This window comes from Homo sapiens, chromosome 3 (genome assembly GCF_000001405.40).
Source record: "Homo sapiens chromosome 3, GRCh38.p14 Primary Assembly".
NCBI classification, from domain to species: domain Eukaryota; kingdom Metazoa; phylum Chordata; class Mammalia; order Primates; family Hominidae; genus Homo; species Homo sapiens.
Window position 1 is genome coordinate 67,976,575 of NC_000003.12, and position 26,626 is coordinate 68,003,200.

The following is a 26,626-nucleotide window of genomic DNA, read 5'->3' on the forward strand; positions in this document are numbered from 1 at the left end:
AACTATATGTAATTCATGGATGTAAGTATTTAGCAAGAACACACTCACTTAAGAGAAGAATAATATCCAGTACTTGTGCTGTATGTTCAGAAAGATTTGAAGATGAATTACATGGAACCAGCTATGATGGAATTATGTAGATAGTTTCCTCAAAAGAGGACCATTTTCTGTGTATAAATACTAAACTTTGGTCTCTGGGACCCAGACATGTCTCACTGAAAGAAGGTAAATCTTATTACAAAATCATGGGAATGTTTAATCACCAGGAGTCAGCTTGTAGAAGAATTGCTGTCTTCCGTTTAAATGAATCATGACTGGTGAGTTAATGGTAGACGCTAGATGTTATTTTACCACATATTTTATCACTTAATATAAACCACATTGTGAAAGAAATAAGCCTATCAGCATTATATTCAGACCAAATAAATGGTAATCTTTCCCACTGAAGTTTGGTAAATAATTTAATAAATCTTCTACTAGAATCTCATGAAATTTCAAATAAACCAGTAGACTTTCAGTTTAGCTGTTTAGTACTCATAATGAATCCTTAATGTCTAACAGCATCTACTGTTTACATTTGCCTGAGGTCTCTAAAACATTATGAGATGAAACGATTTTTTTCTGTTCCTTGGTGTATGGCTGTCATAGAATTAAAGTGTTTCATGAATTTCATATTTGAGTGAATGATTTCCGTTCTTCAGCCTCTTGTGGGAAAGAAGAAATAGGTGGCGCTTCATTTAATAGTATACTGTCTTGTCTAGATTGAATTTGTTATGAATTGCATGGTTCTCAATTGTACTCTCATGCGTCCTTAAAACAAACCACAAATTCTATGGGACTCATATTTTGTTCTTTGCTGAACACTAAGAGTATATAAATGATGATTTAAGAGCGATGTAACTGAAGTTGGTATAAGGCTACAAACAGTATGTTAATTTTCCTTAGTAACATAAAAGAAAGCTTGTTTTGAATATCCTTAAAAGTTTAATAAGAGTTCCTTTCAAGGCACTATAGAAATACAGCTCCACAGAAAAATAAGTATGTATCCATTAGCTTTTGCTAAAATGTACCCACATTTCCAATTACAAAATTCTTGTAAAGCCAATAATTTCCTCCTTTTAGAATCACTTAAAACAAGTGGGAAGAATTATATTGTTATTCAAACAGGGAACATTTGTGTATATAGAATGGATTTCCGTCTAAACTTAGGAGATTGCCAAACTTAAAAATTATTCCATTTGAACGCTTTGGAAAATTTAACAGGAGTCAAAAGAGCACAGAGGAGGGAGTTAACTGGCTGAGCTCTGTGGATCAATTGATCAATAACCTTTTCTGTGAACTCAGATCACCAGGTTCATTCAGCAAATCTCTACTGAGGTCCTATTAGGGCTAGACTTTGTTCTGGGTACTAAGGATGCAATACTGGCCATGTTAGATAATGTCTCTGACTCAGTGGTATTTACCTTCTTCTGTTGAAGAAACAGACAACACTCATAAATAAACACTCATAAATAAATTGACATGTAATATACTGTTAGATGATTACTTTTAAGTGCTACCAGGAAAAATAAAAAAAGGGTAGGGCTGGAAATGATAGGAGTGTGACTGAATGCCCTGGGTTTAATTTTCCTCACAAGCTTTGTTATTTCAATGAGCATGAGAGTTTAAAGCAGCTTCTAAAAACACGTAAGGTACAGAATAATTACATAAATATTAGAGGGAGTTTGGTATAAGGTTAGAAAAAACTATTACGTTCCTGGGTTAAATTTAATCACAGACCTATAGACTTTAAAGTCTGGTATAGTTGCTAGAAAGAGGCCGTAGACTTGACCCTAAACCTCCTATAAGCCAAAGCTTATATCACATCCAAGTCCATCGGCATTTATGTCTACAATTTCTAGCTGTCTACTTTTCCTTTCTCTTCTATTTTATTCAATACTTTTGTAGTTTTAAGTAACAGAAAAGATTTTTGCGACAGCGTATATGTCAGTTTCTCAGTATGATTTTATATCTTAGAAAATTAACTTAGCTACTTAACTAATAGAATGAAATTGAAAACAGTTTCACAAAACCTCTTTAGTTAAGCCATAACTGAAACTCAAATCACGGAGACATATACCAAGAGCAGAGAAGAAAGTAGTAATAATCTAGGTGGATAAATATTTTAATTGCCAGGTATCAGTTTTTAACAGTTTGGTTGGCATCATTAAGAAGATTTCATGTAATTTCACCTACCAGGACTCCTTTTACCACACCCACAACATTTACCCACTTAGCCTGCCTAAACAAAATTAAATAAATTAGAATAAAAATGCTTGTTGTGACACTATATAACTTTAGCCATTATTTTTCGGCAGTTTCTTTTCCATTCTCTTCTTGTTTCTCCATTCTCTCTACCTTGGTATTCAAAACCTTTATTGGAAGCTGAGAGAGCAGAGGGTACGGGAGTCATTAGTTACCACGAAAGAGAAGTGAAGTCTCTGCATGAGGCACACACATCTTTGGTGTCCAAGTGGTTCTGAAGTCATGAATTGCAAACACCTGCCTCTGTTTTAGAGCCCTGCAATGGTGACACCTAGCAGGAGAGAAAAATTCTCTTTTAAGAAATAATTCCCTTTAATGTGAATTTCTTTTCAGATACATGTCCACAAACACTTGTTTTTTATGAGTGGATCTTGTGACATAGAGTAGGTGTGTTTCTTGAAAGTTCAATAGCCATTAGACCTTTCTAACTTGAGTTTTGTTTACCCAGGGAATTTAATTCGATTTTCAGAAAATTTTTTATTTGTGACTTGCTGGTGTACTGATCATTGTTTAAGAGAATCATAAAGCCAGTATATGGTGAAAGACTTATGTATGTATGTATAAATTTAATGTAAAATATTTCTGAAAAGTATAGTGTTATATCCAAATAGTTCTTTAGTTGGCAGCACTAAATGAGATAATTGTATGTGTATTTCTGCTGAGAAAGCAGATTTTTCATTTGGACCCTCTCTAATCCTGAAAAAGTACACTTATTTTTTTCTTACTACATTGAGATTGTTCTCCTTTTCTGTTGTCATTATATGTTAAATAAAGGAGTTGAAGAATTGGTGGGGGTGGGGGTGGGGAGAGAATCATAAACCATAATGAAATAAGTATATCCTTAAGGCTACTGGTCCAGGAATATTCTCTAGGGTTGCCCACGTATGAAGCAGCTTGTGGCAAATCAATGCCTGAGATTCAAGGTGTCTTCTCTATGACTTTTTGTTTGAGCATGTATTTGGAACATAGTGTTAGTTCTCTTGGTATAGTAAAGTGTTATGACTTAATCTGTCCAATCATTAGTTTGATTGTCATAAAATGGGGATAAAAATATTGCCTGTGGCATTAAGTGGTGGCAAGACCCAATGAAGGATGCACGCAAAACACACGGTACAGTGTTGCTCAACGTCAGCGCCCAACAGTGCTGGCTGTCATGATATGGTGATGATAGCTTTTCTCTCTCAGTTGAAAAGGCATAGATTTCTCTTTGTACCTAAGTTCTCATGCTTTGAAGAATAGCGTCCTTTCTCAGTGATGACCTTCAATTTTACATACATAATTTAGCAGATTTTATTTGTGTGTGTATGTGGTCTACCTGGATTACACACCAGCTGCTGATGTGATGGAGGGTTCCTATGATGGTAAGGTCATCCCACATCAAATGCCCCCAGTATCTTTCTGCTCTTCTGCCTCAAGACTTCTTCCCAAGCCATGAGTAGTGTTCATATGCAAAGAAGATAATACCCAGGGTGAATCCCAATCACTGGAGGATGAGAGTCTATGGATAAATGTCCCAGTCTCTCTGGCTTTTGAAGGGACCATTCTGAAACACGTTCGTTATGGTTTTAGACATTCCCCAGTGGGAATGAGCCTAGTTGCTTATAGTCATCACCAGTTCAGTGATGCAGCTGTCTTGGCTTTTTCTCCTTCCTTCCTTCCTGCCACCCAGAATTATCTCTCAAATAAATTACTCTAGACTTTCAGATCTTTGTGAAGGAATCCAACTTGATATGAAGAACATAACCTATATTATCACTCAAATCATCACATATATTCTCTCCAAAATTGGTGAAAATTCATCCAGACATTTTTCATGTGATGCAGTAACAGTAGACAAGCTGACAGAAGTCTAATTTTATTTATATAGCCCATCCATAAACCTAAATACTGTCCCTTGAAATTATTTATGGGCCTCTGCATGTCAAATGTATTGTTAGTAAAACAAAAACAAAAAGAAAAAAGGCCACTTAGATATCCTAAGGGTGCTTACTACTTAATCCTTTTAATCTTTCCATGGAAGAAAAAAAAATCCTATTTATAGTGTCAATTATATCCTCACTTGTCTATTTTTTAGTTTAGGGCATTGGGACAACTCTTGTGATTCATGACCACTTCTGTTCATCATTTCAATGCAAGTGATCAGAAATAAAGAGTATCTTGATTTAGAGTTTAAAAGGTCAAATTGCAGTTGTCTAAGGCCCGTCAGGAAAACCAGTTTGTGTTGTTTTATTAGCATTACAGCATATCCCATGCCTGTCTTTCTGTCTGTCTGTCTTGGTCTATTATAAACACTTAACTTTTTTCTTGTAGGGGCATGCATAAGGTTAGTATCAGGTTGCTGCAAAAATTATTGCGGTTTTTGCCATTGAAAGTAATGGCAAAAACCGCAATAACTTTTGCACCAACCTAATAGTTATTTTTCAGAAAGAAAACTAATTAAGATGAGGACTCATGTGACCTGATACTCTCCTTATGGACATTTAGCATGCAACAATAATCCCTGAAGGGATAAATCTTAACCAATATGACTTTAATCATGCAAACTAATAGCTTTCAGGTTGGATTCAGCTAGAAGACATGTTGATTTGGTCCACATAGTGATAACAAGGTTTCACATTTGAATTGCTTGTGATTTAAAGATCCAGGTGTTTTAGGCTGGGCGCGGTGGCTCACACCTGTAATCCTAGCACTTTGGGAGGCCGAGGCAGGTGGATCACAAGGTCAGGAGTTCGAGACCAGCCAGGCCAACATGGTAAAACCCCATCTCTACTAAAAATACAAAAATTAGCTGGGCGTGGTGGCGCGAGTCTGTAGTCCCAGCTACGTGGGAAGCTGAGGCAGGAGAAGTGCTTGAACCTGGGAGGTGGAGGTTGCAGTGAGCTGAGATTGCATCATTGCACTCTAGCTCCGGACGACAGAGCAAGACTCCATCTCAAGAAAAAAAGAAATCTAGGTGTTTTAAATACCAACAACAACAATGAGTATTTTGAGCTTCTGAAATGGATTGTGTAACAAACCTGGGTCTCTATTCTTGCATTGCATGCATAGCACAGCGTGGAGCTGAGTACCAGTTGCTTATTATTTGGAGGTTGCCACTACCCCCTCCTAGCTTGCACCTTCTTGGTCCTTGGCTTTGTTTTCTTTGCCTTTTACCTGCTTCACTCATTGATGCTACTAGCCTAGCCTCGAAAGGAATTTGAATTTTAATCTCAGTGTTAATATCCTAGAAGACATGCATTAAAATAACTTTCCTCTTTTAAAGCCAAAATAAATATAGGGCAAAATAGTACAATTTAAATTAGTTAATTCTTGAATTTACTGAGCCCTTCATGACTTGACCCAAATAAAAGTGAAGGGTCCGAACTCCCTTAGTTTACTGATGTGGAAACTGAGAAACAGAGAAGTTTTTTTTTTTTTTTTCTGAAACACAATATTTGTACATTGTTATAGGATATATTTGATATGTCTTTACATGCATAGACTGTACAATGATCCAGTCAGGGTATGTAGGGTATTTATCACTTCAAGTATTTATCATTTCTATGTTTTGTGAATGTTTTGAGTATTCTCTTTTAGCTATTTTGAAATATACAATACTTCGTTGTTAACTATAGTCACCCTATGCTGCTATCAAACATTAAAAATTACTCCTTCTAACTATATATTTGTAGCTATTAATCAGCCTCTGTTTTTCACCCCCCACCCATACACCCTTCCCAGCCTCTGGTATCTATCATTCTACTCTCTACCTCCATGAGATCAACTTAGAGAAATTAAGTTTTGCTTATAGTCACATCACTAACGATACAGTATGTCTGCTCTGAAGTGGTCTAAGTAAGACTTGGAAGATGCTTCACTTTTTATGTTGAAGTAGAAAGGTCCTAAGCTATGTCTTCCATGAAGACTTTGGTTATTTAAACAAAATATCCTTTTTTTTGAAAAACTAAGGTATTTGTAAAACCCAAATTATAAAATTTTGAATTCCTTTCAAACAGGCAAGACCTAAAACCATGATGTTTTTGAAGGGGTCTGAGTAGATTTTATGAGCGTATTGCCAAGATGATAGATCAATGGGAAGGTGCGAGTACACACAGAATGAAAGGGAAATGTGGTAATAGAAATCAAATACTTTCGAAAAGCTTGAATGCATTGTTCTCTTCTAAATATCCCTTTTCCTGTCATTATTAATCTTGGTATTTTGCTTTATTCTTCATATTTGGGAATTTCTTTTACTGGAAAACTGGGTTTTATATAAAAAGATAATATATATTCTATTTTAGGACCTTCTTAAAGGTCACCCTGTGAATGATGTGAGAACTTTACCAGAGCATGCACATTAGAGTCCTCATTAGCTACTCAAACAAAAGCTCTTAAAATTCACAGGATTCTGAGTTGGTGTGAGGGTGGAATGAAAAGACCCTTTTTTTTCCTTCAAAAGCAAGCCAGGCAATCAACTCCAGGGGATGCCTACAGGGCCCATTAAAAATTTCAAGATGTGACATGAGCTTGATTGCTAAATTGGCGACACATGGAGGGGAAGCCAGTGCGCCTCAGAAGCAATATAATGCCTATAAAATAAATGTTCTTCTGTAAGCATGCCAAGCTTTTAAGGCACCAGGGAAGTCAAATCTCTTATTTACATATTAGTTTTCTGTGAACAAACCCAATTGCTCCTCTCTGCTCCCGAAATACTCTGGGTCACAGGCAACGCATACTTGCTCATGTCTACTTTTTAGTAGATCCTTCACATTATGCACTTTTTGTTGCAATAATCTCACAACTCGACTGTGCCTCCACTCTTCATCCCTTACAGTCTATTCTCAACCCAAATAGTTTCCTGCTGAAAAGGAAGTCACATTGTGTTGCTCCTCTGCTCTAACCCTCAGAAATATTTTAGCCACCTCAGAACAAAGGCCTACGTCCTTAGGATGGCTTATAGCAGTGGTTCCCAAAGTGTGGTCCCTGGATCTGCAAGATCAGTATCCCCTGGGAAGCTGTTAGACATTCATTGTCTCAGGCCCTGCCCCAGATCTGCTGAACCAGAAACACTGAGGGTGAGCTGAGCCCAGAAATCAGTATTTTAACAAGTCACCTGGGTAATTATGATGCCGAGTTTCAGTTTGAACACTGCTGTGTTAGAAGACCATTGGTATTTGTGTCACATTTACCCTTTCGCTTCATTGACTGCTCTTCTTCTCACACTACCCCAGCCACTCTGACCTCTGTGCTTAGTACATGCCTACCTGAGGTACTTAGGATTTTTTATTCCCTCTCCCCCAGATAGCTACATGCTCTGAAGTCTCTTGTCCCTGAATAATGATGTCTCTGCTCATACACCTGTTTGTTCATTCATTTATTCAACAAATGTTTGCATATCTAAATGTTGGGCTCTAGGCTACAAGCTTGGGTTGTAAGACTAGGTCTCTGAACTTTGGGTATTTGCACTGTAAAAATGGGTTAAATATAAGCGATGACCATTGCATCACAGCCATTCTTTTGATTTGGCAAGGACTGCTTGAGTTATTTTTATACCTACCCTCACCAACTTCAGGTCTTTTCTCAGATGCCATCCTCACAGATGAGGCCTCCTTGCCCACTGTATTAAGCTTCCTAGGGCTGCTGTTACAAGTGCCACCAACCACAGGTCTTAGGAAACAAGAGATATTTCTTCTCCCACAGTTCTGAAGGCTAGAAAAATCCAGGTGCCAGCAGGGCTGTACTCCCTCTGAGACTCTAGGTAGAATCCTTCCTTTCCTCTTCCTAGCTTCTGGTGATAGCCAGACATCCTTGGTGTTCCTTGGCTTGTCTCTGTATCCTTCTAGTCTCTGCCTCTGTGGTCGTGGTGCTCTCCCAGTGTGTCTTCACCCTATCTTCTTAGAAGGACACCAGTCATTTTGGTTTCAGAGCCCACTCTACTCCAGTATAGCCTTATCATAGCTAGCTACATCTTCAACAAATCTGTTTCCAAATATCACATTCTGAGGCACTGGAAAATAGGATGTCAATAAACGTTTTCTTAATGGGGGCGCACATGTCACCTATAATTCCCACCCTATTTAAAATTGTACCTTGCCCTCCGCGTGGCATACTCCGCTTCTTCTGTGCTCTGTTTCTCTTCTTGCTGCTTGTGACCTCCCAACACACTCTATGTTTTACTTCTCTATTTGGCTTCCTGTCAGGCTCCCTCCACTGGAATTTAAGTTTCATAAGGGCAAGGATTCTTGTCCCTTTCATTTTCATACCCACAAAATCCATAGCTTTTAGAATATACCTGGCACACAGTGGCTCCATATATATTTGTTGAATGAATGAAAATGATAGATCACTAACAATATCATTTAGTTGTTCAGAAGTCTGATTAATTTAAAGCACAAAAAGCACTCTCTATTTTTTAATTTTTAACTTTTTATGCCCGGGAGGCTAAGTACAGAGAGAGTATTATGACAGTGCCACCTGAGAAAAGTTAAATTTATTCTAAAATAAATGGTAAGCTTCTTGGTGGACGAGGGTTTTCTTTTTTTGTTGGTTTTTTTTTTTTTTTTTTTTTTTTTTTTTTTGAGGCGGAGTCTGGCTCTGTTGCCCAGGCTGGAGTGCGGTGGTGCAATCTCGGCTCACTGCAAGCTCCCCCTCCCGGGTTCATGCCATTCTCCTGCCTCAGCCTCCTGAGTAGCTGGGACTACAGGCGCCCACCACCACGCCCGGCTAATTTTTTTGTGTTTTTAATAGAGACGGGGTTTCACCGTGTTAGCCAGGATGGTCTCGAGCACCTGACCCCGTGATCCACCTGCCTCTGCCTCCCAAAGTGCTGGGATTAGAGGCGTGAGCCACCACGCTGGACGGGCTTTCTATCAGGGAAAGACCCAAGGGAAGTTTTGTTTCTGGGGATATTTCCGGATAACTGAACTGGCACTGAGGGATCAGGAAAGAACTGGTATCAGAAGTATCATTGGTCAAAGCAAGACAGAGTAAAAGGCTCTCCCATTGCAGTTTCTTGTCCCTGGGTAATGAAGTCTCTGTTCATACACTTGTTCATTTATTCAACAAATATGTGTATATCTAAATGTTGAACTCTGTGCTACAAGCTTGGGATATAAGACTAGGTCTGTGATCTTCTGGAATTTCCCCGGTAGAAAGAGGTTCAATATAAGTGATGATAGCCACTCTTCATTTGGCAAGGACTGCTTGAACTATCTCTGTACCTACCCCAAAGAGAATCAGCTTCTTTTTACCCAGTCTAGGCACAAAATAATACAGATATTTAGTGGCCAAGTGGGAAGCCACCAAAACGGAGGACTGGATTGGAATTTCAAAGGTAAGTCTGCTATTGATCAGTAAGGATGCTAGAGTCAGTGCTCAAGCATCCTGCTGAGCCATGGAATTAAATGAAGGTGCTGTTTAGTGAAGGTTAGAACCTTATACCCAAGTTTGCATTTCTGTTCTGCTATTTATGAGACGTATGACGTCGGAAAAGGTACCTAACCTATCTGAGGCTGTTTTCTCATCTATAAAATAGCATTAATCTTTCAGTATTGTGTGATTAACACAGATAAAAAAATATAAGGTTTAGCACAGTGGGAGGTGCACAGTAAGCTCTCAATAAGTTGGTATTCAAGAGAAACATAAATCCAGATGGCATACTTAAGAGTTTGGTGGATCTTGGCTTCTCTTTCAGGGCATCATGGGACAGAAAAAAATGGAGTTATGAAAACAATGTGAGCCAGATTCTGGAAATGGGAACACCCACACGAATCAAGAGGCAGACAATGGTGTCAGGAACATAGGAAAAATTGCAAACTTCTCATGTATTTATTTTTAGGGAGGTTGCCTACGTTTTATCAGTTATGAATCTCGGATGGCAAATTTAAGGCAAGTTTCATAAAACACTTTGGGAAAGTTAACCATAATATTAAAGCATGAGGTTTCATCCCAGTATTGTTAAAATTAGGCAGAATGGCTTGGGAGGCCGTTCTCTTTAGCAGCTCGCTTAACCATGCTGCTTAGAAAAGATGGCAGTGAATTGAAACTGAAAGGCAAACTGTGCTCTCACCATCTGTCTTGAAAGAAGTATGATATGGTTGTCATTCAGACTGTTTGGAAGGGAAAACCATTTATAAGTTTCTCCAGCCCTGGATTGAGCACTCTGGACAGAGTTGGATCCAAACTATAAAAAAATTCTTCCTAAGGTTATTTCCAAGGCTTCCATTTCAATAGCAATGCTTTCATAATCAGGCTTAAGCCATCCATTGACTTAAATTACTTTATGAGACTGGATTAATTAAAATGCTCAAGATAAGAAACCCCCATCTATCTCCCTTTCCTACTTATCCTGTTCTTCCCCCACGGATCATCAAAATTTGGATAGAGTGTTGAGGGCTACTCCAATGGTCAGGAAATAACAACTGTGATTAACATGGTGGCTTTAGAAAAGTTGCATCTGTAGCAACAATCAGATTTTACACTCGGAGAACAGTTGCACATGATTAAAAATTCTGAACCTACACAAAGTGTCATTTTCTAGAGCAAAAATGTCCTTGTGCTTTAGAGACTGAGACAAGGAAGGAATGAAGTCCACATCCCCTCCTGCCCCCTTTGCTAGACTCTTCAGCATGCTGTCAAGGTGTCAGTTTGCTGGCCCACTTCTGACTAAACAGAAGGATCTTTTCATACAGGTAAGGTATTTCATATGCATTTTTCCACTCTGGAAACATGAGCGGTGGCCTCTTTAGGTCAGATATATAGGTCTACATTATGGATGGCACACAGTGCCTGCTTTTATAAGCTGATTGCCGATCTGTCCTTGCTTACCCTAGAGCAGAGAAGATGTTCAATCCAAATAAGCATCTTTCAGCTAAATGACCTTTGCTCAGCCTTACTCTCTTTAGAACTTTACCTGTCTACAGCACTGGATGAAACTAGGTTTAATATCTATTCAGTCATTCCTTAAGCATTAGATGTTTACATTTCAAGCAATACAGAATAATTCTGCTTTGTTGCTAGTACTGGGGGTGGGGGAGATACTATTTTATGAGGATAAATAACTTGACTTAGAATATTTCTACCTTTTGGAACAGTGTGCTGTATTTTAAGTTCAAATGAAACGTTTTATAGACTCATCACAGCTGGTGGCTGGAAGTGACTATTGGACAATCACTCCATACCATCCTCTTCTTAAAAATTACAAGCTTAATTGTCCTACCCATGATTCCTAAGTGGAGAATCATAAGCCACAGAATTAAGAAAAATGTTTAACAAGTGGCCCAGTGGGAGAAGAATAGAGTCTTTAAAGAATGACTAGGAGAGAATGTCTTTCTATGTGGTGCCTGAAAGACAATTTCAAGCCCCTACGAATAAGTAGTATTATTATTACTTTTACTATATATTAGGCACGATGCTGTAAGGTACCTGGAAGAAGAAGATAAACATTTTTTGGGAGCTTTGAGGACAGTTTCTATCCTGTGGAATTGAGTACTTCTCATTAGCAAAATTGTAGGCCAAATTTCTTCCTCTCAGCCTTCTCTTTTAGATCCTCCCAGGCCAGTTTTGGAGCACCTGCCCACCCCTACCCCTAACTGCATTTCGTGGAATCCATTTTTTTGCTACAGGCGTCATTTACCTCTCCCCGTGCCAACAGCTCCTGGCCGCCTTTCCCCTGTTTGTATGTCTTACTCCTGTTTCTAAATCTGTGCACCATTAACATCTTCATGGAGTTTATCTTATTTGTTGAATGAGACACTCTTTGTTTTAGTGAATGTAATTTGACTGAAAGAATTCCAGTTAAGGTAGAAATGTGGTTGCTGATAGGACCCGGAGAAATTTCATAGAAATCAGGGGCAGGAAATACTATAATGCCTGGGCCTTGCGGGAGACAGAACTGGAAAATGAGTCTGGATTTAAACAGGTCTGGGAGCCTCAACAGACATGGAGTCCACAGGCTTCATTCGAATGCTTTGTCATCATTATGCTTCTGTAGGCTTTTATGTGTCCTTCATTTTGGGCCCTGCAACCAACCTATCCACTGTCTTACAATCCCAAATCCAAATTCCTTGGAAGCAAATCCATTGGACTGCCTCATCTTTTCCCATTATTTCCCAGGTCATCAAACAGCCCATCAGATGCACTTGGGTCGAGCTGCATTGAGGGGAGAGTAAGGAGGAAGAGTCTCACACAGACACACACACACACAGACACAGATACACACACACACATACACACACACACACACACACACACACACACACGGAGCATCCAAGGCTGTGGCCTCTGATGGATAGTTTGAGAAATGGGAGTGGTGTATCCTCTAATATAAGGTCTTAAGATAAGATAAAGGCCCAGGGACCTTTATGGAATAGCTAATACGTTATCTCAGCAAAGTAGTGTTTGAAAGGGAGTAAAGAGCTAAGGTTGATTTTCACTTATATTCAAATCGTATTGAAACATCATTTCCTATTTTTCCCAGGGTCAATTTCTGACAGCAGTTTGAAAGTAGAAGACTTAATACACATATTCTTATGTGTGTGTGTGTGTGTGTGTGTGTGTGTGTGTGTGTGTCGAGAGAAAGCATATGGACACTATTGCAGCGGCAACAGAAGAGAAAGTAGTATGGACTTTTCGTGCTAGAGGAGATTTTAGAGATCTGCCGGCCCAACCCACACATTTTACACATGAAGAAATCCGCACTCATAAAATTTAGATGGCTAACTTAAGGGTGTACAGCTATTAAGTGGGAAAACAGAGACTCGGATCTCAGATCTCAGGCAGAACAAATCTCAGATCCCCAATCCATTGAGCTTCACAACCCAGCTCTATTAGCTCTATTATATTTTTGTCTCCAGAAAGAAAGTCTTTATTATTAGGTTGGTGCAAAAGTAATTGTGGTTTTTATCATTAAAACTGCAAAAACTGCAATTACTTGTGCACTGACCTATAATTGAAGCAAGCCCAAATATATATCATGCTTTGTCAACTGCATGATTGCTTATTACCTTTTAGTTCTCACCTCAAAGGTTAGTACCCCAAAGGGCTCCTTGACCACTACCTACAGTCAGTTCCACTCCTTGTTCCCCAGGTTTTCCATGATACCATTCTTTTCTTACATTCAGGTCACATGCCCCAATCTTTAATCACCTTGTGCATTTGTGTCCTCATTTTACTCTTCCAGTAAAATATGAGGCTCCATGAAGGTAAAGATTGTTTCTCTTCTTCACGTCTGCATCCCTAGCTCCTGTAATCATGCCCAGCATATTGTAGGAGCACCTAAATAGTCATGCCTGTGTACATTTAATACATATAAATATTAAAATAATAAGTGGTTGGAGAGAACACATAAAATCTTCTTGGCCACATATACTTCCTAATTACTGACAGCATACAAAGTTTAATATCTTTATGCTATTACATTTCTCTAAAGATCCCCATATATTTTTGTGTGCTGTGTCATAATTTCAAGCTAAAACAACATCTGGAATTCGTAGCAAAGGGAACCAGCAACATCTGATTCAGATGTGATTTTACCTGTGCGGGTGTATTCCACATAACTGTGAGTGTGCTCATAACAGAGAGTAACTTGGCTTAGAGATGCTGCATCCCAAATATCCTCTTTGTTTGTGACTCTGACTTTGTCCTGTCACTTTGTTTGTGACTTGTGACTTTGTCCTGTGACTCTGACGGTAAGAATTGTTCATTCTTATTTCTGGCTCTTGGCAGCCTACAGATGCTTCCTGTTAGTGCTCCTGGCAGGTTACTGATGGGGCCTGTTGTTTATTGCCCTATCAAGTCCTATTTATTTTTAAAATAAACTTTAAGTATACTGTAAACTCCCTTCACAAACAAATTTTTCCTCCTCTTTTACACTTGACACGCCTCTAAAAGGAATAGTAACTCTGTCTCATAAATATTTGAACCTGAACCTTTTAGGAAAGAATTATACTTAAGCTACTCAAGAGCAGGAAAGGTCTCTGTCTGAAACCTCCCTTCTAACTACTCACTTCTCTCTTCCTCTTCAATCTCTCTCTCACTTTTTTTTTTGCATTATCTTATCCCAACTTTTATACTGCTCTCTTATCCCACTGCAGACCCAATTCTCTGGTCAAAACTGCTGTCCATATCTTTATTAAGTATTGCTTATATAATGTAAATGTCTTTATTAAAAATATTAAAGGGCTTACTATTTCCAAGCTCATCAAACCCAAATGTTTTACATCTCTTGCTTGGTCCTACATCATGTAAATTTACTATTTTATTCAATCATCTAACACAAAGCTGATGAGAAAAGATGTTGACATGGTAAAACAAAACAAAAATGTCTTGGGGTTTAGATTCATACTGACTTGGGTTCAATTTTAACACTACTACTTATTAACTGACAGCCTTGAGGAAGTCTCCTAACTTCTCTTACTATGCTTTCTCATTGGAAAAGTGAACACTAATAATACCCATTTGAGTACAGATTCATGGTTGTGATAATTAATTTGAGGTGTCAACTTGATTGGATTAAGGAATACTTAGGAAGCTGGAAAGTATTACTTCTGGTTGTGTCTGTGAGGTTTCCAGAGGAGACTGGTGCATGAATCAGTGGACTGAGTGGGGAAGATCCACCCTCAATGTGGGTGGGCACTATCCAATTGGCTGGGGGCCCAGATAGAACAAAAAAGGAGAGAAAAAGATTTCCTTTCTGTCTCTCCTAGAGCTAGGACATTCTTCTCCTCCTGGCCCTGGACATCAGAACCCCAGGCTCTCCAGCCTTTGGACTTCAGGACTGACACAAGCAACCTGCTGGGTTCTTAGGCCTTTGGCCTTGTACTGAGACTTACACCATCAGCTTCCCTGGTCCTGAGACTTTTGGACTTGGATTGAGCCACGCTACTGGCATCCCAGGATCTCCAGCTTGCAGACAGCCTGTCGTGGGACTTCACAGCCTCCATAATTATGTGAGCCAATTCCCCTAATAAATCTCCTCATATGTCTATCTATGTCTATATCTATACCTATATCTATATCATCTATCTATATCTATAAACTGTCAATATATCTATATCCTATTGGTTCTGTTTCTCTGGAGAACCCTGACTAATGCCCTGGCATTCTCTAAATATTTATAGCTCTTGTCTTTCTAAGCACATGGTAGCATTACTTTCCACCAGTACTTTTCAGTTTAGGAATGGTTAAATGATTTGTTTTGACTAATGAAATGTGAGTGGAAGGGATGTGTTTCACTAGTGGACAGACATTTTTAGAGACAGTGTGTGATTTACAATGGTCCCTTCCCCCAGTGAGGCAAATATGAAAACATATGGAGAAAGCTTTCATTATCCTGGGATCTTGGCTGTTTACAATAAGCAAATCCTCCTACTGACCCCCACTGGATATGCAGCATGAGCTATTGGGGTTGCTTGTTATTACAGCAAACATTTTTGTATCCTAACTGAAACATCTATTTGGCAAGGTTGTTTGGAGGATGAGTGACAATATACTTAGAGAGGCAACACAGTGCCACTATGCAGTCAATCAATGGTATCTGTCATCATCAGGAACATTATCATTGTTAGCATTGTTATTTTGTTAGATTTATTTCTATCCTGAGTTTTGTCTTGATTCCCATTATCTTATTGTGCTTTAATGTTTACATTTCTTGCCCTTCACTAAATTATAAGATCTTTGAGAAGGACAGCATACTTCATGTGCCCTCAGTCAGGAATAACCCATTAGATATGGTATCCATTCCAACAATTTTACTGTTGTAGCCTGAATGCAAGTATACATAATACATAAACAAATGGGCATGTTTGTATTCCAGTAAAACTTAATTTATAAAAACAGAAGGCAAACCATAGTCTGTAACCTTCATTTAGACTCTATTCTTATCCTTCTCCCTCCTTCTCTCTCTCCATCTTCAACCCTAGTTTTCCTCTTTCTCTTGTGGGTATGATTGTATTCTCTGCTTCCCCAGGTAACCTTTTTCCTCAAAGATAAAAGTAGCCACCACTATAAAGGAAGTAAATCCCCTCCTCCCCTGTGTTCTTCCTTGGGTAATGTGCCCACACTTGAGCCAATCTCTGCTGACAGAGCATGGGAATTCCCGAGTGGTCAGGCTTGAGTCATGTGACCAACCTGATGATCAGAGAATGGTCTGTGATTGAGGAATCTTTCAAAGCCATCAGGGGTGCAGATGGAAGAAAGTAAGATGCTTGGTAGACACAACAGGGGGCTTCTTACAAGCTCTTTTCTCCTACACATGCAGAGAAATAGGAAAGAACCTAGTCCACAGGACCATCCTTAACAAATATATATTGGGTAGTAGGCTTGATACTTCATAGCCAATTTCCCTGGATATTCTTTAAAGGCTTCCTGTGGGATCTGCAAACAAAAGCGTTAGCTTGTATTTCTGATGGATTGGTTGTGAGAGGTAGGAAATACAGCAAACGAAGGAGACTCTTAAGTTTCTGGCCGAAGCACCTGGGTGAGTGGAGGTACCATATATTTAGATGGTTAGAATTCATCTCCTAAACTGTAAGGCGGAAGCAGCAATATGGATACTCCCCAGTTGGCTTGTAAGTATTTTCCAATGATCTGGGAAAACTTACCAAACTTTACAAAAGCTAATAAACAAAGTATTATAATGTTATATGAGTCAGGACTCCCTGGAAACTATCCAAATTCGTCTCTGTAATATGGGGAATGCCTGAAAATTCCTAATGTGCAATACCATACTACAGGGGGAAAAATAAACACCTTATTCTTGCTATTCCTGGCCACATAAGGTCTGTGTAAAGGGCTTTACTGGCTGCCATAGATATGTGTTGGGCACTCAAAAACTGAGTCAGTTTAGTATACCAGTACATCTTCTATTTTTACTTTGCTCAGAAAATCTGATGAAATTATACAAATCCCTGAAATCTAATATTTTTATGTGATAAGATTGTGTAAGAGGAGGGGGTGGAAGAGAAGTTTGGAAAATGTGGTGACAGATGGCAAGTGGGCTCAGGCACATAGCGTTCCTATATATAGGGGAGGGGACAATCTGGTTAATCAAGGGGAGGGGGGAGCACTTTCAAATTTAGATTCAAGTATTTTATATATTCAGCAACATCATTTAGTGAAGCAGCCTAGCCGGGTAGAATTTTTAATTTTTTTCTTGGTTGGGGGTGAGCTGTGTGATATATATTTTCAACAGTTTTCCATATTCTTTCATGATGTCTACATTTAACAATCAAATTGTATCTATAAGTTTTGGGTGTGTCTGTTGAGAGAGGGCTGAGACTATATATTTCTAGAGAGAGTTCCTTCCAAGGAAATTTACAACATTTCAAAAATTAGGGTCATTACAACTAATTTAACAAGAATGGAAAATTAAAGTGAATGTTCACAATGAAGATGTCTTTATAGTTCAGTAGAATGAGCAGTGAGCTGGCAATGAGGACACTTGAGTTCCAGGCCCAGCTCTAGGTAATACAGTCCCAGGTAGACTGTGTTGCCTTACACAGGGCACTTCAGCTCTTTGAATCTTAGTCTGTTTATTTTTAAACTGAGAGTCCAGATTAAATTATCTATAGGATAATCTTGGTTTTATATTTCCATTGTTATAGGCTGTGTGTTAGTGCTCAGTTAGTTAGAATGCTTTTGATTCCAAGTAACAACAGAAAGCCCAACTGAAGCTGTCTTAATTCATCACAGGGAAAGCCTAGTGTTGAGTGGACTTTCAGATTGGTTTGATTCAAAAAAGGACATTTCCCCAGCTTGTTTACTCTTCTTTCCAGGGTGTCGGCCTCATCCTGACAGGTTGGTGGCTCTTCAGAATCTGAAAATATCAGTTAATGACTCCTGATTAATGTTATGCTTTTTTATACAACTCTGGATGAAAAGAGAAAATCACTTTTTGAGGCTGTCTTAGACAAGTGAGGAAATGTCTTTTAGAAGATCCCTGAAAACTTGTCCTTGCATGACTTTGGCCCAAACTGACTTTTGTTCATATGTGTGATCATGTCAAGGGAATGGGGCTACCGTGAACTATAGGAAAGACTTCTGGAACCAGCGGTTAGCTTGGCAGAGAGATTGTGGTTACATAAGTGAAAATCAGGAAGGATCATAAGTAATGGAAGCAACCATGAAATCTACCAAACATGGCTTTGAACACTTAAGTTTCATATGATCTACACAGTTAAATATGAACTAGAAAAAAAAACAAATTAATGAAATGGAGGTTTTATATGGTAGCTATTATCGTACCAAGCACATAGTAAGCATTCAATAAAGATGCCTACCTTGGGCTAACCTTAAATCTGTTAAACACAGAGAACATATCTCTTAGTTGACAACTAAATAACAAGAAATTGCAGGTATTTTGGGGGTTGCCATAGTGACCAGAGGCCTTCTGCTGTACATTTTTGTTTTAATGCAGTGGTTTTCAAACTTGGCTGCAAATTGGAACCACTTAGGGAGCTTTGAAAAACGCTATTGCTTGAGTCCCATCTCCAGAGTTCCTGATTTGATTGATCTGGGTGGGGGCCAGGGCATTTAGAGTTTTAAAAACTCTCCAGATTATTGTAACTTACTGCCAAGATTGAGGATTTCTGGCTTAGGGACTCCAAACATGAGCATGCGAGGCGTGTTCTCATCCCCTCTTCCCTTGAACTCCCTTTTATAATTCTCTTTTTCTCTACTCTAAACTTGTAACTGTTAGATTCTTCTCCCAGAGCTGGGACTCCCAGAGATACCACATGTTCTCCATTACACTATGACAAAAACCTGAATGTGAGGGTGGAAACCAAGAGTAGGGAAGGCGTACTGTCAATAGGGTGTGTTAGAAGAAGGGGACAAAGGGGTGGAGAAAAGAAGAAGTGATGCAAAAAGCATTTTCCTCTGGCACTAGGATGAGGTTGGAGATGCACATTTAGGCACTCTCAGACTCAGATTCCCACACAAACACCCATACACATACAGACACATCATCTGAAATTCTTCCCAGCCTCCTCCCTGCTCAGCCCACTGCCAACGGCTTGCTTAGAATCTTGCTGCAAATTCATAAAACACCTAAAACATGAATAAATGAGAAGTGACTGTGTATTCATTCATTCGCACATTCATGTATTCATATGTTCTATAAATATTGATTAGGCACCTACTATGTGCCAGGTACATTGCCAGATGGTGAGTGAATAGTGATAAATAAAACAGGAGCTTATAGCACATTAAAGGCCTTAAATCTGGAAAGGGTTTGGAGTGTATGAAGCAGGGAAATGATTATCTTCTTCAACAGTAATTGAGTTCTAGTCTCCGTACCTCATTTGTTGAGTGAGTCCTTGGTAAACAAATGACTGCCCAAATGAATTAGTGAGAAAAGACCAGAGTGACTGGAGCATGGTGCATGTGCAGGTGTTTAGGGAAAAGTGGAATAATATTAGGTTGGAAATAGGTGTGGATATCAGTACATGCTGGATCTAGTTTTTAAAAAATCAGACATTATATTCTGTGCATTGGGAAATAATTACATATTTTCAAGAAAGGAGTGATATGGTCAGAGAAAGTATCTCTGAAATCAGGGGGGATAAAGAAAGGGCTATCTGGGAAAATAGTAAAATGGAAAAATGTTTCTGAAAGAGAGAACAGAATGTGCAAAAGCTTTGAGTCCAGAATGGTATAATATGGCTGCGTGTGGTGAGTCATGCCTGCAATCCCAGCACTTTGGGAAGCCAAGGTGGGCAGACCACTTGAGGCCAGGAGTTCGAGACCAGCCTGGCCAACATGATGAAACCCCATCTCTACTAAAAATACAAAAATTAGCCAGGTGTGGTGGTCTGTGCCTATAATCCCAGCTATTCAGGAGGCTGAGGGATGAGAATTCCCTGAACTTGGGAGGCAGAGGTTGCAGTGAGCCGAGGTCACTGTACTTCAGCTTGGGCAACAGAGCAAAACTCCACCTCAAAAAAACAAAAATAAGAAAAAAAAAAATGGTATAATATGTTTGAGGAGCTGAAAGGCACTATGCTACTTTGCCTAATTATATGGACATAAAAGATAGTCTAGTGGAGAGACAATAATAGAGAAATATGACACAGAACAATAGATGCTACAGCAAGTGCAGTTGACAGAATCTATGGGAGTGTAGAGGAGGGATCTCTAACTTAGACTTGGGAGGCCAAGAGAAACTCCATAGAGAATGACATCAAGAACCTAATCTGGAAAAGCAAGCTGAGTTAGGAAAAAGGAAGGGGAAGGGAAATGGTAGGTAGAAATGAAAGACAGAGCAAGGATTTTTCAAATAGAAAGAATGTTTCAATAGAATTCTATACATTTGCACATTCAAAGGTATAGAGAAGTGAGAAAACATCTTACAATTCTGAGCAAAATCTTAATTACACCAAATAAATCAAATTTAATTTTAAAACTTTATAGAAATTTATGGTATACCAGATACACTGATATGCATCTAGCAATGATCTTTTGAAGCAGGTATCAGTGAGGCAACTTAGGTGAAGTTACATAGAATCCAACAGCTAGTAAGAGGTAGAGCTGAAATAGACTCAAGCAGTTTGACTCCAGAGTTCATTATCTCATTCCTGCTGTTAGATTGCCTCTCTGACTACATTAAAAAATAAATAAAAGGAGGAAGACCCAAAGAGATATAGATTAAAATATATATATTGCTATTTTCCTGTGTTTTTCTACTATTTCTGGAAATTGTCTAGTTCACATAATTAAAAACTCAAGCCAGACAAAAGAGAATAATCAGCTATATTAACAGTAAGCCAAAGACTTCTATTCTTCAGAAATTTACTTAAAGGCAAATCAGATATAAACCTAGGAAGTCCAGAAAAGTTAATAGGACTTAAGCCCACACCAAGAAAATAAGATATATGTATGATTACCTTTTTTTTGTAGTTAACCACTGACACTATGTAGGATCCTATAGAAAAAGAAAGGCATTCCTGTTTTTAATTTTTTGTTTCATGTAGTAAAAAATTTACTACCACAAAAGTAAAATCAACCACAATTAACAAGCAGTGAATGGAAGTTGAATATTTCAAGAAACAAAAGCACAATACTTTAGATTGGTTAAGTGGATTAAGAGCACCATTAGAGGACTGACATGAGAAATGTGATATTTTGAGGAAAAAATAATAAAATATGAAAAATACAATGAAAAATCATAAAACATAAAAAACATATATTAAACAAAAAAAATTAAACAAAAAAAACCATATATTAAATTACAATTTTTTTAAAAAAACAACAGCACCAAATAGGCATGTTTGGAAAAGTGTTAGAAGTATGTACACTTAAATGTGAATACTGGTAACATTTGTGTGATAGGTTATAGATGACTTTTAAAATTTTTAGTTTAGATCTTATCTACCTTTTAACATATGAATACGTTATTTTATACGTAGGAAGAAATTATAAAACATATCAAAGTCCTTTAGTCCTAAAAGTACATATGAAAGCTTTGCTAGCCTTAGTCAACATTATAATTATGCCCTCAATATTCATTCTCCTTTTCCCATTATTATCCTAATTCTCCTTTAAGTGCCACCCTCCCCCACTGCATGCATCTCTTTTGGGGGATGCTCTCCTGAGTTAGGGATGTGGCATGTACTGTAGTTCTAAGCCCAACAATGTGATCCTTCCCCCTGGTCAAGGTCACTGGCTTAAGGAGGGGCAAGTGACCCAAGTTAAACTAATGAGGCATGACAAGTAATTTGCTGGAGGAAGCTAGGAATAAATAATCCTTGCTCATGTGAGAAAAACCCAAAACAATCGTTTCTCTTGTTCCTATGTGGATGAGGAAGCACATAGCCCAGGCAGCCATTGGCAGCCATGTTTCAGCCGTGAGGAGACACCTGCCTTAGAATGAATAGAAATCCTGGAAGGCAGAGAGAGTTGGAAATAAGCTAGTTCTTTCATGGGTTAGTGGAATTGCTGATCAAACCCAACTGCAAGTGAGTGCCACCTGTGGGCTATCAACCCATAGGAAACCATACATCTTCTTTATTATTTACTCCAGTTTGAATTTTGTGTGTGCATGTTTGTTTTTCTGTTAATTGTAACCAAACACATCCTACTTCTTTCTTTCTATGCTATTTTCATCCTGGAAGGTTACTATCAGGTAATTAAAGATCTTTCTTCTAGCTTACTAAAAATTATTCAAAATCACAGGTTTTATTTTCCTTGACCTGGCTGGTGTATTCTAGAACTGTGCTGTCCAATACAGTAGCTATCAACCAGATGTGGCTATTTAAATTTAAAATAGTTTCTTGGTTGCACTTCTGACGTTTCAAATGCTTAATAGCTACATGTCAATAGTGGCTACCATATTAGCCAGCAGAAATAGAGAACATCTTCCACACTGCCGAAAGTTCTCTTGAATAGTGCTCTCTCTCTCTCTCATTCTCTCTATCCCCCCCCCCCCCCTCTCTCTGTGTGTGTGTGTGTGTATGTGTGTGTCTACGTTGGAGGGAGGGGAAGCATACAAAAGAGTAACATTAGATTGGGAAAGTTGTATTCTAACATCATCTATGCTAGTTAATTTACCACGTTCCCTTGAGTAAGCCTCTTCCCCTTTCTTAGGTCTTCATCTTTCTTCTAAAAGTAAGAGGCTAGACTAGGAGATTTTGGGGGTCTCTTCTAGGTCCAATATACTGAAATTTTAAGTGCTTTCTTTTGACTTTTAACATCTGTAGACTTTTTTTATTCTCCAGGGATCAGCTGTGAGCTCTACCATCAGATCATATTGGATATCAAATACTGAGAACCAGGGTAGAAAATTCAGGACAGTTTCCTTTTTTTTTCTTCTAGCAAAAAAATTCCAACACAAATTTAGTGGCAAGTAGGCATTGTTTAAACGGTGTACAGGCCAGTTTCCTTTACTTAGTGTCATTGCAATAGGCTAACACAGGACAAGGTGGTCACCCTTATTTCTTTCCTTTCTTTTTTTTTTTTTTGAGATCGAGTTTCTCATCACTCAGGCTGGAGTGCAATGGTGATCTCGGCTCACTGCAACCTCTGCCTCTGGGGTTCAAGCAATTCTCCTGTTTCAGCCTCCTGAGTAGTTGGAATTACAGGCACCTGCCACCATACCCAGATAATTTTCATATTTTTAGTAGAGACAGGGTTTCACCATGTTTTCCAGGCTTGTCTTGAACTCCTGACCTCAGGCCATCTGCCCGCCTCGGCCTCCCAAAGTGCTGGGATTCTAGGCGTGAGCCACCGTGCCTGGTCAAAGCTACTTATTTCTGTAAAGGCAGCTCATTATGCATGCCATCCTGATGGTGAATTAGTATTTTATTTTTGATTCATTTATTATTATTCATTTAGTCATTCAAGCATTTTATTGTCTACTATATGCCAGGCAGTATGTTAGACTCTGAAGATGCAGCAGTGACCAATATGCTTGTCCTCCTTGCCCTCATGGTGATTGTTATAAGGAGATAAAGCAGGCATTAAACAAATAATTCCAGAAATAGCTATTAACACTTGTATTTAAGATTCTAGAGGTGCTGTAACAAGGGATATAAGGGGACATAGCACAATGACCTGATCTTGTCTGGAGTACTAGAGAAGGCTTTGGGAAGAAAGTTTCTCCATCCTATTCAAGGATCCAAGATAAGAGCCTAGTAGAAGCCAAGAATTAGAACATTTGTAAGAGATGAGGCTAGAGAAGTAGGTGGGTCAGTTCATGCAGAGCCTTGTCAACCATGGACATAAGATTTGGACTTTATTTTAAATGCAGTGGGAAACTATTGAAAGGCTTTTAAGTAACAGGAGTGACATAATGATCATGTGTCTTAAATATGCTCCCTCAAGATGCAGAGTCGGGGAGACACAGGTGGGAGGTACATACTCCAAGACAAGTATACTTGCTATAGTTCAGGTAAAAGATGATGGTAGCCTGGATGAGGGTAGTTGAATGGAGAGGGAGAAAGTGGATGGATTTGAGGCATAAACAGGAAGTAGAATTAATAGGTGGTAGTGACTGATTGGATGCAGAAGTTTATGGGGAGGGACATGGCCAGAAGAGTCTTCATTTCTGGCTCAAACTATTGCGTTGTTGAATGGCCATTGGAATTGAGTAGCTTTGGGGGATCTGATATTAAATCAGCTATGGATTTGAAAGTTTTGTAAACCAAAAAAACATATTATTGTTTTTATTATTGCCAAAGCAAACATTTTCATGACCTTTATATGCTTCTGATATATGTTCATATCCTTGCAAAAAAAAGAGACTACTTTGTTGCTATAAAAATATACATGTATTGCTTTGGTTAGAGAAAAGGAGGTGAAGCTGGTGGGATTTCAACTTTCTCTCAGTCCTAAAAGGAGAATAAAGAATAAAGAAATGAGAAGCGTAAGAACAAAAGAAATGACCTTATTCTTTCTTTTTCTTCTGCCTGGAAGACAGACAAGATAAGCAATGAGGAATTATAGTTGATAAAGTAATTGTAGAGATAGGCTGCTGGAGGTGAAAAATGAGACTCCTACATGAAGGTTATCTTTTTTTCCAGCCTAAGAAAAATCTTGTCTCCCATTTTCTTTTTCTTACAGTTACTGAAAATTCTGCCTTACGGATCCAGATTCAAATTATAGTATAGAATATTGCCAGTTTGATAGAAAATGATTTAGCCTCTCTTTCCAACTGTGTGCATTCCTTGTTGCTACTAAGGATTTTTATTCTTTCTTAAGCAGTAGTTGGGTTTTATTTTGTTGTTGTTGTTTTTTTTTTTTTGGTTGCTGCTTTTGTTTGTTTGGTGTTTACCTTGTGAATGCTTTGTACTTTTAAGACATAGTTGTGATTACTGATGTGTATAATGCTCTCCTCATGGCCTAGTGCAGTGCATGGAACATAAAAATTCAATTAATAAGTGAATTACAAGATAAAGTTTTCATCAGTCAGTATAGACTAGATGATGCTGCAATAACAAATAACTCCTAAGTTGCAATTGCTTAAAAAAAACTATTTCTTATTCACTAGGTAGATCCATTAAAGATTGGTAGGGGAAGAGGAGGCCTCTGCTCAAGGACTCAGGCTGATAGTGCAACTTGTCCCTGCTTCAAAGGCAAGAAGAGATCTGAGGGTGTCACTTCAGCAATTAAATGCTCTATTGCTTGAGGAAATGACATCAGTTCTAATGACACCTCACTGGCTGAACCTTATGGCATACCCAACCCTAAAGGGATCAGGAAGTGCAATCCTACTATGGTCAGAAGGTGGAAAGGCTCAACTTCTCTGAAAAATGTGAGAGTAGTTTTGCTTTGAGTTGGGAGAATACACTAAATGGCCTCAAAGATCAATATATGTTGATTCTTACATTATTAGGACAAATGATCATTGGCTGCAATGCAATGGACTGCAAGGTATTTGGAAGAAAAAAATAGAACTATGCTAATATTCTTGCTTCATTACATGCATTTAGAATGATAGTTAAGGCGAGTCTTTATTCCAGTATTTTTTTCTTAATTGTCAGCAATGCCTATCTGAATGCCTTGAATGTAATCCATTAGGTGGTCGATTAAATTGAATTATGGAAGTAACTATCTTGACCCTTATTTTAATCTCTAGAAATGAAAAACATAATGGTTACAGGTTTTCAAAATAGTAGCCTTTATTAGCAAAGGTGAACTTCCTTTTAATTTTAATTCATTAGCATAGCAAAACCACAACCAACAACAATCACGGGGCAAAAGCCATCTTGTATACTTCTATATTTCAAATGCCTGGTGTAATATGTACCTCTAGAAAGAATGAATAATCATTTTTTGAGACTATCTTAATGTTAAAGAAATAAGAAAATATAATAGTTATTTTTTTGGATTTTTTTTCCATTAAATATTTTATCCCAGTGTTTAAGAATGTACTCTTGAGCCAAATCATTTGGGCTTGAAATCTGCTCTGTCTTTTACTACCACACAACCTTGTGCACGTTCTTTAATCTTCCTGTCTCCTCTCACATTCCCCATCTGTGAAACAGAGATAATAATAATACTTATCTTGTGGGGTTGGTAAAAAGAATTAAATTAGACTTTACAAGACATACTATAGAATGTGCTAGCATCTGGTGAAGGTTTGATAAACATTACCTGCTGCCACTGCTGTTATTATTTTTTTATCTTGATGCTGTACAGTCAGTGTAAACTTTCTGTACACACTCATGAACAATAATAATGAGGCACAGATGTGAAACATGCAACACCAACTAGAACTTTGACATTTTTAACTGTGAGATTAATATTTACTATTACTTAGAAATCTGTTTAGAGGTAAGATTTAGAGAACAGTTGTTATGTTACAAAGAGCTATTATGTGTGTTTTGTGCAATGTGAAAGACCAATTGGC

General features: G+C 38.3%; 1 protein-coding gene across 1 annotated transcript in view; it reads left to right on the forward strand.

The window, feature by feature from the left end:
- Nucleotides 1-14,969: 14,969 nt before the first annotated feature.
- TAFA1 (TAFA chemokine like family member 1) overlaps nt 14,970-26,626 on the forward strand; it is a 554,078-nt gene continuing 542,421 nt past the window's right edge. Inside the window, exon 1 of the mRNA NM_001252216.2 lies at nt 14,970-15,230. The gene's annotated coding sequence lies outside the window, so the exon portion shown is untranslated. The remainder of the gene's footprint in view (nt 15,231-26,626) is intronic.